At 48.5% G+C, this 16,228-nt stretch overlaps 1 annotated feature.

Moving 5' to 3' along the window:
- Window positions 15,338–15,903: an enhancer, noted in NCBI's record as "H3K4me1 hESC enhancer chr10:100081209-100081774 (GRCh37/hg19 assembly coordinates)". NCBI's record gives its function as "activates a minimal SCP1, AML or CMV promoter by ChIP-STARR-seq in primed H9 embryonic stem cells {active_cell/tissue: H9 hESC(primed)}" and the evidence as "EXISTENCE:reporter gene assay evidence [ECO:0000049][PMID:30033119]".

Below are 16,228 nucleotides of genomic sequence, written 5' to 3' on the forward strand. Positions count from 1 at the left end.
GCTTTACAGGAAGTGTGGAGCCAACATCTGCTCAGCCTGTGGGGAGGCCTCAGGAAGCTTTTACTTATGGTGGGAGGGGAAGTCAGAGCAGGCCCATCATATGGCAGGAGCAAGAGCAAGAGTTGGAGGAGGTGCCACACACACATCCCAGATCCTGAGAACTCAATCGCTATCGTGAGGACAACATGAAAGGGATGGTGTTAAACCATTCATGAGAAATCTACCCCCTATCCAGATACCTCCCACCAGTTCTCACCTCCAACACTGGGGACTGCATCTCAACATGAGATTTCACGGGCACATATATTCAAATTAAATCAGTGGGTAAATTAAGTTCAGAGAGGCTAACTTGCCCAAGCCACACAGCTAGTAAGTGGCTAGTCCAGGATTCAAACATGGGTGTGTTTATCTCCAAAGCCCAAGCTTGGGTGTGTTTATCTCTAAGGCTCAAGCTTGTTCCACCACACTGTCATTCCTGGAGACAGAGATGATCTATTACTAGAAGTAAACAGATGGATAATCTCACATATTCTTACTTGGGAATTGTATCAGTCAGGATAGGCTTGGTTAAGATACAGTAACAAACAGCCCCCAATCTCAGTGGCTTAAAAACCACGGTTTTCTTTCTTACTCAGTCGACATGTCCATGACAGCTCAATAAGAGAGCTGTGTTCATCACAGCAGCTCAGGGATCTGGGCTGCAGGAAGAGCCACGATTTGTAATGTTGCCAATCACCATGCCAGAGGGAAGAGGAGCTCTGGAGGGCCCAGAACCTTCCACTCACGAGTCACTGGACATAAGTAGCCACGCAAACTTGATCCACCACAGGGGCCCCAAAAAGTACAAATCTGCCACGAACCCAGAAAGAGGAAAACCAGAAAGATTTAGAGAACAACCCTAATAAACTTTTAAAAACCATTTTGTATTTTTTGTGGTATGAAATAGAGTGATTTTTAAATGTAATAGTTTCATTTTAGATCAGTATATTATGATCAATTATATTTTAAGGTATATTTTAATCACTCTTTAATTATAACCATAATGTATAGAGACGAATTTGGGCATTTTCATCACTGAGGAGGTGATAAATGCTATTTAATTTAATCATGCAAAAAAGTGATTTGTTGACAAATTTTAATTTGATATATGTTTCATTTGAGGACCAAATGTATTTTAAAATGAATGTTGTAATTATAACTTGCAGCATAACAATGTTTTTTAGGACCTCATATTTGAACTTAATGAAAATTTTGTATTTCAAAAAGCAAGATTTTTTTTTTTTGATGTAAAGGATTTTCTCCCACTGGATATTGAGATTAAGGGTATGAAACCACTATTTTTTTGTTTTGTTTTGTTTTGATTTGAGACAGAGTCTCACTGTGTCCCAGGTTGGAGTGCAGTGGCGTGATCTTGGCTCACTGCAACCTCTGCCTCCTAGGTTCAAGCGATTCTTGTGCCCCAGCTTCCTGAGTAGCCGGGATTACAGGCGCATGCCACCACACCCAACTAATTTTTGTATTTTTAGTAGAGATGGGGTTTCACCATGTTGGCCAGGCTGGTCTCGAACTCCTGACCTCAGGTGATCCACCCACCGTGGCCTCCCAAAGTGTTGGGATTACAGGCGTGAGCCACCTCGCCAGGTCAGAAACTGCTATTTGTTAGCACTTCTCAAAAATACATTACAGGACTGGATCATCTTTATTCTTAATAAATAAAAATGCCAAATTGGCCATAATTGTCAGTGTGTTTTCTCTTTTTAGCATTGGTTTATGGGGTACTAGAAACATTTTTAGAATTATTCTATTTTTTATGTTCCTTATTAACTTGATAGTGTATTTCCTTCTCAGTGTTCCTTATGCTTCTTGTCTTAAACCAATGGTCCATCCATCCTGGGTGTAAATTAAACTGAGTATGACTAAACATAAAAAGAATTTAATGCTGCATGATAGTGAAACCCACCAGGATGGTTAGTGGTGTTCGGCTGAGTGCTGAGCCAACGGCCTGGAGACTGAGTCACAGCCAAATTGATCTCCACTCCCAGGGAAGGTGTGCTCTCCTGGCATGCCTTCAGAGCACTCACGCCCTTCCATTTAGAAAAGTAACTATTTTATTATTGATTTAGAAAATAAATGAAACATACTATCATTGCCTTGAAGCACGCAGATGCTTGCAATATCTTCAGGAGCCCGTGAGGATCACAAATAGCACACTGGGAAATGTTTCACCACGCCAGCTTCCACCGACTGTAGGCGCCTGGGGGTACATCGGAACTCAGCCATCTCTGCAGGTGACAGCCTCGTGGTGCCCAGCCCAGTGGGTTTTGCATAGGCTTAGATGCTTGCTATTTGTAGATTGTTGCTGATATTGCTTGATATTTGGAAGGGCAAAGAAAAAAAGGAGGGAAAGACCGACTACCTCCTCTTGAGTATATTCTGCTTCCCAGTATACAAGGGGGTTGACTGCACTGCCCAGGTCTGGATCATGTCTACACAGCCCGAGGAATGAGAGGTGGTGGTTGGCAAGATGCAGCCAGGGCCGGAAAGAGATGCAGAGATCCCCCAGGAACCAGTGTGTGAACTCTCTGGCCGTGTCCTCCCCCTGCCATGAAGAGCCGAGATAATGAAGATAGAACAAGCTCAGAGCAGGGCAGAGAAGCCATCCAGGAGACATGACTTACGGGAGGAGAGTTTAATTGGTTTAGCCTAAAAAGCCCATTACGCTCTCTGGTGGACACGGTAATGCTATAAATATCCACAAGGTGACAACAAGGGAGAGAGGATGGGTCTGTCTCGCTGATAGACTGTTAAGACCGGCGGCGCAGGGGGAGGCAGGCCCTGCTGGGGGCTTGAGCTCATTTCAGGGGCTTGGAGATGTTTTTACAGTGAGAATCCTTTGTTCAAATGAAAGCATACATGGAACTCTGTAACATGAAACAGATGGATAGCTAAGCTTCTCTAGCAGAAGCAAAGGTCATTCTTTGCCCCAACTCCTGCAGATACCTCACCTCACCCTCCCTGCAGCGCCCCGGCATCTCCTCTAGGCTCAGTTGGAAAACCTGTAGGTGAGCTACTCAGAGGCCCCCAGCTCTGACAGTCCTTGCTGGGGAGTGGCCGTGTCTAAGCAGGAGGTGAGGGTGAGGCACCCGAAAAGACAGTCTGTGGGGATGCAGCTTAAAGCAGGGCCCCTGTGTGGAAAGGGGTTTTTGCTGCCAAGAGATCCTGGGAGTGGTGAGACAGTACCCATCAAGCCTCGGGAAGGACTGAGCTCGTTAAATCACAAGTCGTATCTCACTGGCAGCTGCAGTCTTGGGAGCAGGCATTGGCAATGGATTGTGAGCAAGCGCATGCCTGTGGGGTCTCTCACATGGTCGGGAGGGGAGCTCAGCTTTCAGGGAGCATCTCAGAGTGTGCAGATGGGAGGGTGTTAGGGAAAAGGAGGCAGGGTGATGAGCACGGCGGCAGTCCCGGACCCGGAGTGTGGAGGCTGAGCTCCAATCCCTGCTCTCTGTAAATCTGCCATGTGACCTTGGGTTGTTTGGCTCTCAATTTCCTGATCTGAAACACAAGGTTGGATAAGAAGAGGGAGTGGGATGGAGGCGTAAGCTGCGGCCGCCCGTTCCCAGCCCTCTTCCGCCCTCTTATGGCCACCCCTGAACCAGCCTTTGCTAGGCGGCTTCCCAGGGCCTCCAGGGCCTGCGAGCCCAGTCTGGGAAAACTGGGCTTGGCAATGACCCTGGCAAGGGCATCCCAGGCCGTGGCTCCTGGATGAGAGAGACAGAATCAAATCTGCCCTGGGGGGAGGGGAACTGGGAGAGCTCCTTTGCCAAGGGACCACACTTGGGGGCCACCCTTGAACCTCTTTCTAACAAGGAACAAAGGCAGCTCCACGAGTGACTCCTCTGCTCAGAAACACAGCTCTCTGCTGCCTGGAAATCACAAAAAGACGCTGAGTGATGGGGTGCCCTTCTATGCTCTGGTTCCCTCCCAGTTTCTTTCCTCCCAATTTCCCTCCTCATCTTCTATGCCTCTATTTAGCCCTCAGGACGTGACAGTTCCCAGATCTCTGCTGGATGCCTCCCTTTATCTGAAATGCTGGTTCCAGCCTCCAGCACTCCCCCTAACAGGGAACAGGTACTCACTCCCTCCTCCCTGTGAGACACAATTAACAGTGACATACAATTTTTTAATGTGAAAATCAACCACCAAGCAGGCCAGGCATGGTGGCTCACGCCTGTAATCCCAGTACTTTGGGAGGCTGAGGTGGGAGGATGGCTTGAGCCCAGGAGTTCAAGACCAGCCTGGGCAAAATAGCGAGACCACATCTCAGAAAAAAAAAGAAAACCAGCCACAAAGCCTACTACTCACACCTGTTATTCCTCAGTAGGAGCCATGGTGCACCTGGCCTTTTGTTCTTGGTTTTTCATCACTGTACAATGTTTTTTTCCTGCTGATCCATAATCCTTATGGTAGTAATTTAGCAGCTGCATGATTCATCATTATACAGACTGGTGGCTGTCAGTCTGAGTCTAGGGGCTGTCCAGGTGATGGCATCCAACTTCTCCTTTCACCCCAGGAACTCTGCATTTACCTTTCTCCCAGCTTCATTGTCTTGTTATAACACACTGGGGGTTTCAGGAAAGATTTTATTTGGAAAAAAAATCTGTGGTTTAAGACACTTAAAAATCACGGAGCTAGATTAACAAATATGCACATAACCAAATGCATAACAAATATGCACATAACCAAATGCATCATTTCAAAGAATGGTTTTGCACATGCAGACTTTCCCTCTTTTAAAAGTGTCTCGCTGGCATTTTTTTTTCTCCCCTGCCTGGCGTTGTCCTTCTCTGGAGAATGCGTTTGCCTCGACCCTTCTATTAGAACAGGACTCCTGAGAGTCAGGGGCTGGGTCCTGCTCATTTCAAAGCCTGGCAAGGTGCCCCGCACACCGTGCACGCTCCCTTGTGGAACTGAATATGAAGGTGGCTCCACGGGGGAACTGGGACGTGCCTATGTTGGATGGACAAGACGTTCCAGTTCAGAATTTCTCAGCACACCAGGGAATGGCAGAGGTTCTCCAAGATAATTTTTGTTGTCAGGGTAGGGCCAAGACCACCTCCCTTGCCAGGCTCTGGGGGGACTCAGAGAGTCCTTGCCCTGGGAAGGGTTTTGTCAGGAGCACCAGATGAAACAGACCACGCTGGCCTCCCTCCAGGGTTCAGGACAGGCCTCGGCCTCGGCATTCATTGCTGGAGCCTTTCCCACATCCTCCACTGCACACTCGCTGGTCTGTGCCCATCACTGCACCTGAATGTCCTGCTGGTGAGGCACCTAGCTGAGAGAGATGTGTCCCTGGGCTCTGCTTGGAGGAATAACCCTTGGCCCATCTCCTGTGCTGTGACCCTCCACGCCTGCCCTCAAGTCATGTCCCCAGGAGGAAACTGCCAGCCAGTCCCCAGCAAGGGGGAATAGTGAATCAGAACACAAAGAGGCTTTTGGCTGGGTGCAGTGGCTCATCCCTTCCCAGCCCTTTTGGAGGCTAAGGCAGGTGGATCACTTGAGGTCAGGAGTTCGAGACCAGCATGGCCAGCATGGTGAAACCCTGTCTCTACTAAAAATACAAAAATCAGCCAGACGTGGTGGCAGGCACTTGTAATCCCAGCTACTCGGGAGGCTGAGGCAGGAGAATCGCTTGAACCCAGAAGGCGGAGGTTGCAGTGAGCTGAGATCGTGCTACTGCACTCCAGCCTGACACAAGGAGGCTTTAGCAAGCCAGCCTACACCCTCATTTATTGATAACCTAATAGGGCAACGACTGGCTCAAGGCAGGGTCTAGGGTTCCTGGTGCCTCCATCAGCATCACAGTGTTAGGTGTGGCTCCCGACCCTCTTCCTTGCATCTCTCACTGGACAGGAAACAGGAGAAAAACACCACCGGCCTAGAACTTGGGAGACTTGATTTTTGGAGATCCCCATCAGAGTGAACTCGGGAACAGCACCTGAGCCCTCTTTCTGCCTTAGTTTATTCAACTATAAAGCAAGCAAGTTGACTCTCAGGTCTCCAAGGGGCGCCCAGGTGTGGTGTCTTATCGTTTACACGTGGGGAGTGGGATTGGTAAGGGATTCCATTTCCTTGGTTGTGGCTCCAGGAAAATGTCCTAAATCAGGGAGTACCGTGTGAGTTATCCAACCTGGGACACTTCTGAGAGTAAAAGGGAGTTTTGTTTATAAATACATAGGGACAACACGTGGAAACCAGGTAAACTGGTGCATATGGGTGCCTGGGTGATGGGATGTAGGTTAAGCCACAAGCACCCACACAGCTCACCTCCCAAGAATCCTGTAGGTTGCTTGCTGACAGGAACAGAAGAGCAGCAAGATTAGTAATGCCGAAGACCAGACCTGTTTCTCCCTCTTCCCACTTGTGGCATGGCTGATACTGCAAGCTCCATTCCAGAGAGATGAGCCTCCTCCCACTGGGGAGTCCATGGGGCACATTGGATGCCCTGGGCGCATCACTGGGCTTCTTCCAAGAAAGAGCACTATGACAGCTTCTCTCTGAATGGCAGAACCTCTTGTTGGTTTATAAAGTCCTTTCATTGCACTTGAGCTCACTTCATCTTTATGGCATTCTCAGCGGGAAGGCATCATGATTCCCATTGTACAGGCGGGAAAATTGACGCTCAGAGACATTAGCTTGTCCCAAATCCCATGGCTATAAGTGGCCAAGTTGGGCCCCAGCCCAGGTGTGTGGCCCACTCCTCTGGCCCTCCGCAGTCCACCACACCCTGCTGGCCATGAGCTGTGGCTACACAGCACAGGCGTAAGTGCTTAGAATGGGAAGCAGAGTTTGGCGGTAGGGTCATAAATTATTTGCTAAAACCTCAGGCTAAGTACTAGGCATTCTGTGGTTTTTACTAAGTGCAAATGCCTTCCCTCAAGTAGAGGACCTCTGTAGGCTGGGCTTGCTCAGCCAGGAATTCACCTTGGGATTCTGAAGATATGTATAGCTTCGCTGTTTGTGGATTTCACATTTATGAGCCCTTCCTTGGCACTTGTCATAACTGTCCGTTAAAAGTTTGCATTTTTCCCATCTGCAAGGGCCCCTCTCCAGCCTTTTGGGTTGAACTTGTCTCTACCTTGTTCAGGATTTTGGAACTATAACAAGGGAAGGAATTACTAGTGAGGAAGCACTTACTATTTGCAGGATCCATCACTTCTGTTAGCTAGTTAAATCCTCAGTGTGAGCCTAGGAATTAATCGAACTTATTTTCAGATGTGAAAACGGAGTCTGTGATTTGGCTGAGTCACTCTAGGGAAGGGAGAAGCTGGTTCTTAAACCCCTGTGGAGCGGATTGCTTCTCCCTTCCCTGTAAGGGTGAGGGCCACCAATTCCAGGGAGTAGTTCTCAGAAGCCAGTGACGTCCTAGACAGGACTTTAAGCTACATTTAATTGAGGCCAAGGTGGAAGCTGTTCCAAGAACTCAGGGACACTTGGGAGTGTTAAAATCTGTTTCTAGAATTCCAAGGACAAAGACCTTGGAAAGCTGCTGACAAATGCCCATTAAAGGGCCTGTAGAATTCAATTAAATCCAATGAACATTTATGACTGCCTCCTATAAGCCAGGTGCTGTGCCAGGTGCTTTGGGGAAGCAAAGCTGAATGGGCAGGTCCCTGCAGTTATGGAACTCCCTGGACAGCGACACTGGCATTTCTGGCCTCACCACACAGCAGCCCCATGCCACCGAGATGGAAGAACAAAGAATTCTCTGGCAGGGGCCATCAAACGTGTTTATGAAGCATTGAGTTCTGGAACCTTCTCCTGTAGCCCATCCACATTGGCATTTTCAAAGACTTAAGAAGGAAGGACATTTGTTTATCTTTCTTTAGAGTTTCCCGAACTTATCCAACAGTGGAGCTCCCTCCTCCTATGTCCTCTTGCCCCTGGTGGAGTATTTACTAACATCCTCATAATATTCCATGGAACACATTATGGGATACGGCAGCCTGGGGGCAGCTCCATGGTGGGCCTGGGAGGCTAATGGACATGTTCTCTTCTTTTAGAATAAATCGTTTGGGGATGTCATTACTTCTTGCTCTTTGCTCTCTCGGACAGAAGATGCATCTGCGGATGCTTGGGTTTAGCTTTGGTAGCTTACTTAAAAGGGCGTCTTTCAAAATTGGGGATTACTCAGGGCTTTCAGCCTTTTCGCTAAAGAGATCCCTTGGGTCAGCATACGAGTGTTTGGGGCACACAAACATGGCCACAGCTTTCATAACATATGCAATAGCACAATTTCCAACAGGGGACTGATGCAGCCTAAATTTTAACAGAGAAAACACACTGGAAAACAACACGGGGAGGGGCCATTTGGCCTCTAGCTTGGGGGCTTTGGTCAACAGGGCTCCACTTTCATCTCTACTGAGGTCACCTTGCCCCACTGGCCAGACTCCAGGCACTTATTTGCAGGATGAAAATGGGTGGGCAGCTGTTGACAGTATCACAACATCCAAGCCTTGGCCTCGTGTATCTGTGGCCTCTTCTTGGAGGTGACACATTGATAAAGCTGTTTACCCAGCACAGCCAGTGCAAGGAAGTAACTTAGATCCCCAAGGCTGTGGCAAAATTAAATGCCTTCATGGGTGTGGTGACATTTTTCCTTGGTTGAGAAATAGCCTGGCACCATGACTAGGGCACGTTCTCCAGTGTCACACAGGCTTGGCCCTGCCTTGGGCCTGTTGTGTAATCTTTCTGAGCCTTGGGCTTTTCTGTAAAACAAGGATAATTCCTACCTTCGAATGTCCAGTTCTTGATGAATTTAGAGGCCCCCTGGGGTCTACCTTTAGGATTAGATTGTCAAGTCAATGTGAAAATGCTTTATAAACTGTAAAGCTCTGTACAAATGGAGAAGATTGCAGCTAAACTTTACTGAGTACTCTCTTTTCGCTGGAGTCTGTTCTCAATGAGTTACACGCATTATCTCATGGAAGACTCATAACAACCCTATGAGGTCGGATACTATGATTCTCCCCATCTGACAGACGAGAAAACTGAGCCTCAGAGAGGTCGAGTAACTTGCCTAAGGTTACATGTGATGGAACTGGATTTCCTCCCAGGTCTGTTTCTTTGCAGAGCCCCAGACCTCAGTTCTGTAATCTTTGCTGGAGAAGAAGTATTCTCCTATTGGGGGCTGGCCAGGGGAGAGGGGAGTCTGAACATTCTGAGGGAGGCACAGGATTCTAGAGGCTCCGAGTTCTTTCCTGGAGTCTTTTATGTTAGGTACCCCCAAAGAGAGAAGCAGCCTTCTCACCCTGGCCCCTGCAGATAAGGGTCCTTCCCTTTCTCCTGGTGATGAGGTAGGAGCATGATGAGGGTACTGCTTCTGCTGTTGCTGTGATGTTACTGGTAATATGGACAGTTATGGAACCTTTTATCTTGCTTCATCCTCACAACAACTATGAGGGAGAGAAAGCACAACACCCCACTTCATAGTTGGGGAAACTGAGGCATAGAGAAAACTTGTGCCTGGTAAGCTCCAGAGCTGAGACCCAAACCCCGATGCTGGCTCTCGAGCCTGAACTTCACATCCTCGGAATGTTGGGGTTTCAGACCCTCTGGAAGGCCCCAAGGTGAAGCACCTCCTGTGGTCCAGTTCCCAGGCCAGGTCTGGAGAGAAAGAGGTGGGCTCTCCATATATTTCCATCTTACCAATCTTTACAATTGAGGTACATCCGACTGTGCCGATCTCACAGATGAGCAAAGGCAGGTTTAGAGAGTTTACAGAGATGTGTCCAAGACCACCTAGCTAGGAAGGAGTGCCAGTCTGCTGGGCTCCAAAGCCCACCTTTGTCCCTCTACCTCTCAGTCACCCTTAGGAACCCTTCTGCTCTCTGAAGTTCTCATCCAAGCACACTGTGTGCTTCTCAGTGGGGCACCCATGGGACCAGGACTCTCGGCATATTTACTTTAAGCCTCTTTCTCAGCAGCTCAGACCCAAAGACAGGTGGTAAGAAGAGAGGGGGAAACATGGTAATGAGGGGGACCAAATCACCCATCTTACCCCTGTGATGGCCACACCCATAAGAGTCTCTGCAGATAACTTTGGCCTCTGGATGGACATTTTCCTGTTCAGAAACTATGACCTGCTCTTCTCCTCCCAGAATCTCATGCTCTTCATGCATCGTAGCAGCACAGAAGGCACCAGGACCAGGAACTTACAGGAAAACTCAGGTCACGAGATCTGAGGCATGGTTGCAAGATCCAGGCGCAGAGTCACTGTGCTGGGAAGTGCTAATGGCGGGAGGGGTGTCTGCACAGGCTGAGCTGAGGGAAGCAGGGATAATGCATTCATTTATTTACTTCTTCCTTTCACTATGCTTTATTAAACACCTACTGTGTGCCAGGCACCGTGGTGAGTGCTGGGATTAAGAACAGAGGCTTTGGAGCTCATTGGACTGAATTCAAATTCCAGCTCCATCCCTGAGCAAGTCACTTAACCTTACTGCTCATCAGTATCCTCAGCTCCAAAATGGACACAGTGGCAGCACCCCACTCACTGAGCTGCAGTGAGGATTAGATGAGGTTATGTATATTAAGTACTTACAGCAGTGCATGGCTTATAGTAAGAGCTGAATAAATGGTGGCTATTAGTGCTATTATTATCTCTGTCCTTGGGAGTTCACAGTCTGGTGAGGCACAGGCATTAAAAGAAACAGATAATTTCCTAATGACTTGGGCCAGGAAGTGAGCTACACTGAGTAATGAGTGTCAGAATTTCCTGCCTCCCTGCTCTCTATGAAATGCACTGAGGTCACATTCTGTGCTTTGTTTCAGGATGGAGTCTGACTGGAAGTACTCCCTCTGCCCTGGGTGCTAGGGGGCTGAGGTCCAGAAAAGGGGTCCTTGCCATCTTCCCTTGTTTGGTTTCACCTTCTGAAAGGAGAGAAAAACTGTTGGGATTGGAAGGAGGAACCAAGGCTCCTTACAATTCTGCACTGCAGACAAGAGACAATGAGATGGAAAATCCAAATGGCCAAATGAATATATAAGAGCAGGAAGTTTGACAGTTTTGATGACAAGCAGCACATGAAATGATAATCCCCTGGCAGGTGACAAGCATTTTGGAAGCAACAGAACAGAAAGGGATTAGTGGGGTGAAGTTAGGGACCCTTGCTCCCTGGTCTGGTGGAATGCCTCTGGGGGAAGGGGGACCACGTCCACTTTCTAGACTTTGCAGAGGGCTTCGTCACCTGAAAGGATCACCCAGAGGCCGACTATTCTCAAGCGTCACTGCTTTTGTTATACTCATGATCTTAAGGACAATATTTGCCCAGGGGCAGAGGGAACTAGACTTTCCAGGGGCCCCAGAAAGACTCAGTTTTAATCAAAATGGTGAACACCTTTCTGTCAGATCCTAACTGTAGAACATACACACTTTATTTTGTTCTTTTGTATTGTCAACTTTGTACCCAAAAGATCATCTCTCAAGAGCTATCTTTAAAGAGATTTTTTTTTTTAAATGATGTCTCAATTTAGAGTCAATCATAGTCTGGATGGAAAATTCTCCTTCCAGGAGGTCAGGTGTGCTGATCTTAGGATGAGATAGTACTGAAGCTAAACGTGCCTCTGAGGTTTGCCTGCTGGTGGGGCCAGTCCCCACCAGCCACTGACAGAGTCCAGGCAGGTTCTAGGCCCCACAGTTATATTAAGCCAAGACTCTGGGCAAGAGTCAGACTGAGGAAAAGGGACCCCCAGAGGAGGGATTGACTGGTGAACCAGCATCACCCCAGGTAATGACACTTCCCATTCGGAGTGATCTTTTCTTGGTGGGTATAATAGTGGCCCCCAAAAGATATGTCCATGCCTTAACCCCCTGGAACCTACGAATGTGACCTTATTTGAAAAATGGTTTCTGCAGATGTGATCAAATTAAGGATCTTGAGGTGAGATTATCCTGGATTATCTGGGTGGGCTCTAAATCCTTACAAGAAATAGAAGAGAAGGGGCCATGTGAAGACAGAGGCAGAGCTGGAGGGGGGCAGCCATGAGCCAACGGGTGCTTGGAGCCACGAGGAGCTGGAGGAGGCGAGGAAGGCTTCTGTAGAGCCTTTGGAAGGCGGGCAGCCTTGCTGATGCCTTGATTTGGACCTTGTGTTACTGATTTTGGACTTGTGGCCTCCACAATTGTGATAGAATAAATTCTGCTGTATTCAGACTCCACGCCTGTGGTCATTTGCTATGGCAGCTGTCGGAAATGGATCCAGTGGGGACAGAACTAAGTGATGAAAACATTCATTGAAGAGCTGAGCCCATGAAGACCATGGCTAACAAACAGGCAGGAGGCCCAAGGTGGGTTGTTGAAGACAGAGAGGAAGAGGGGTCCACAGCCTCTCATCCTCATCCTCGGCCAGCATAAGCTCAGGCCAAAGATGAGCTCACCCTGAAGTACCCAGGCGAGCACCATCCCGGGTGACGTGGGCGGTCATGGCGCCTCTCTCTTCGAATCTTGCGCAGATGGCCCTGGTGCCTCTCTCTTTGATTCTTGCTTTTCCATCCTTCCCATTATGCCCACTGGCTTGCCGTGGTTACAAGGAAGAGATCTGCTCAGGTGATTTAAGAAAGCGTGAGCACATGGGGCCCAGACATATCATCTCAGCAGCAGCCCAAGTCACACTGGAATCCGGTACTTCAACCACGTGCTGGTGGCTGCTGGGCTCAGGACAGTGCTGGTGACCCTGGGGGAACTGCCCTCAGTCCTGGGGCACTTCTGACACCAGAGTCCTACATCTGGGGAGCTGGAAGGGGCTTTCTGAACTCTCATGGACTGGATTCCTACACACAACAGCTCAGTCTTCTCACCCCCGATCCTTAATTTTTTACACATACTTCTCCTCCACTGCTGGGCAGACTTAGGAGCCCACAGCATGAATGAACAAGCAGCAAGCAGATGCTAAGAGAAACTTCGCACGCAGCCAGTCTCAGCTTGGCAGCTTATTATTTTTTTTCTAGAACACGTGTGTTTGTGGTTGTGATATTATATTGCACACATTAATATAGTCATATTTTCTGCTCGTAAAATTGTTCCTGGCTCATATAATGGGATTAAATATATCAGTATTTCATGGTGTTCCGCAAAAAGCCCCATAACTTCCAGGTGCTCAGCCACATGGGCAAGTTTGAGAACCACTGATCTATAATAAAGTAAAATCATCGAACACATAAGTAAGCAGGAGGTCTGAAAGGAATCATTTGTCACCAATCCATCAGCATTCTGGGAGGTGGTAATTGTCCATGTGTACAGGCAAACTGATAAATGAAAGTTATTTTAAATTTTCAAAAAGTATTTGATTATACTTTGCATCTAATAGAATTGATATGAAACACTGAAGACCTCTCTTGGCTCTCAGGGCCAAGCCAGAAAATCAGCCTTAGGACTTCATGAAATAAACATAGCCTTGTGACTTCATGGCCACGCTTTGATTTGTCCATCTCATTCTGTCCACGTAAATGGAGGCTGCATGTGTAAACGCCACATCACAGATGCTGGCCCTGGCCCCAGAGTTCATAGGGTCTGCCGCTCCATCAGTTGACTTGGGAAGTGTCCTCAGGAGAAAGGAATATCCTGGCATCTGGGTCATTGTCTCCCTAATCTGAACTGAATCCTACTGAGGTATCAAATTCAACCTGCAAAGGGTCCTCAAGTCCCTGAAAACTATTCTCAGCAGTTATTTGCAGGAAGACATTCTTTAAAGGCCAGGAAGCCTGGATGTTGTCCACCTGCTAGAAGACATTGTTCTGCCTCCTGCGGAACCCAGCAATGGACTGGCTCCAGGTGGAGTGTGGAATGCATGTTAGTCACTGGGCATCCTCGAACTGGAGACGGTTTAGAGAAGTCTGCTGAAGACCAAGGGGGTAATGATTTGTGATAAGAAGACAGAGAAATAACAAAGAATAATCATGCAGTAATAATAAAAATAAAATAAGCCTCTCTTAATTATAATGTAGTAATATCATATGATGAGGATGAGAAAGAAGAAAATGGCTCAGAAAAAGCAAGTTAAGCCAAGAATGAACTTTAGGCCTGGAAAGGGTGACTCCAACTTTGGCAAAAGGAATTGTGCCTTTGTAAGATGGAGTTCATGATGAGAAAGCATAGGCAGAAAACTTAACAAGAGAAAACAAGATGCAGCAAAATCTTCCTTTGATGGATCCACAACTGGCTCTTAAAGAAAATTCTGGGTTCAGAGGCGTGTTGTTTATTCCGTGATCATTTATTCAGACCCTGTCCCTACCGTGTGTTAGACACTGGGCTAGGCCCTGCGGAAACAACTGTTCAGAAGACAGACACTGTCCTGCCCTTTAAGGAATGAACTCTTCGGTGAGGAATCCATTAACACAGGTGGTAATTACAATGTCATGTGATAAGGGTTATCACTAGGAACCCAGGATCCCCCAGTCAAGGGAGCAGGGATAAGGGTGGCCATCCCCGTGTCTCTGCTAGAGAAGGAACCTGGCTTACTGAGCCCTGGGCAGTGTCTCTCACACTAGGACACATCATGGTCCCTGGAGAGCAGCTACCAGGAGCGCAGATCATTTTGAAAGCATTTTAATGACAGGGTCCATTCATAATGCAGCTACTGCAGCCCCAGAAACTCAGACAACGGGCAATACGATGGAGTCTACACTATTATAAATATTTGATCTCCTAAAACAATATTACCGTAAATATTATTCACTGCCCTGGAAAGCTTCAAGCTCATGGTTTAAATTTCCCCCATTAGGAGCCTAATGAAGAGGATTTCAAAGTGCACTATCTGGGGACAGGGCTTCCTGGCAGGCTCCAGGCTAGGCCCTGGGGAGGGAGGGTAAATGCAGGCCAGGTGGTGCTGGCTCTGGGTGAGGAAGACAGGCAGGCCCAGAGGGAGGAGTACCGCAGATGTCAGTGGAGAAGCCTGCACTGGGGCCCCTGGGGATCTGGGGGAACCTAGCAGGGAGGCTGCACTTTATCCAGGGTCCCAGAGAGGAGTATGGGACTGCGGCTGACTCTGCTTCAGATTCACTGGGTGGCCTCAGGCTCAGTACAAAGTCACCTCATCTGCCAAATACAGACAATACCCGGCCCTACCTTCTGTGGTGAACATGCGGGAGAATGTAGGGACCTAGCACAGGGCTCTGCACGTATTAAGTGCCTAGGAAATACCAGCTGTTAGCACTGCAGCGAGCGCGGCTCCTGCATTCTGCTGCTGCTGGTACTGCTGCTAATTGACAGCCCACATCCTTCAGGTTACAACCCATCCCCCTCACCACGGCCCACAAGCCCCTCCTCCATCTTAACCACCTCTCTGCTGAGACAGGCCCCAGGCCCTGGCAGACACTTGGTGTTGCCCCTCATGGCACTCGCCCTCCTTGCGCTTCCCCTGCTGCTTGTTCTCTGTGGCTGGAACGCTCACGTCCCCCTCTGCCTGGCCAGCTCCTTCGGGTCCATGATGCTTTAACTGCCGGTGCCCCGTCCGTGGAGCCTCCCTGACCCTCGGGCACCCGGGAGACCTCTCCTGTGGGCTCCCCGAGGGCCCTGATTCTCTGTAATAGGTGCTTGCTGGCCAATTCCCTCTCCATGCAGCCATGAGCCTCTGGCAAGCAAGGATGGAGCCTCACTCATCTTTCTACCTCGAGGGCCCAGCAGAGTGCTTGGTGCATGGGGCTCAGTAGTTGCTTGTTGAATGAATGAATGTATTACACAGAGATTTACAATCTCCAAAGGATTTTCATACCTGGTGTGCTTTTGCTCTATGGGATGTCCTGGGAGCATTGTGGTGCTTCTCAGAGGCTCAGGGAGGCTAAGCGAATTGTCCAGAGGTACTCAGCAAGTTAGGAGCATGATAGTAACCCAGGTGCATCTATACCCTGAGCCCAAGGGATGCTGAGTGATTACAGGGTATTCTGGGGCCTGGGTTGTGTGAAAGGACTCAGGGCATCTTTTTCTGACTGTGACTGATTTAAGAGGTGGGGACTCTGACAGAACTATTACTCCTGGCTCTCCTGCAGTTCCAGGTTATTGGGGGTGAGGTGGGAGTGGAGGGGTTCTTCCTGGAGCTAGAAACCATCAAATCTCTCAGAGTCATCAGATCCTATGACAGGGCTCTTGGAGGAGGAAACTGAGGCACAGAGAAGTTGGTTCACCTGCTCAAGATCACACAGCTAGTCAGTGGTAGAACTTGGCAAGGAGCTC

The sequence above is a fragment of the Homo sapiens genome, chromosome 10, assembly GCF_000001405.40.
Source record: "Homo sapiens chromosome 10, GRCh38.p14 Primary Assembly".
NCBI classification, from domain to species: Eukaryota; Metazoa; Chordata; class Mammalia; order Primates; family Hominidae; genus Homo; species Homo sapiens.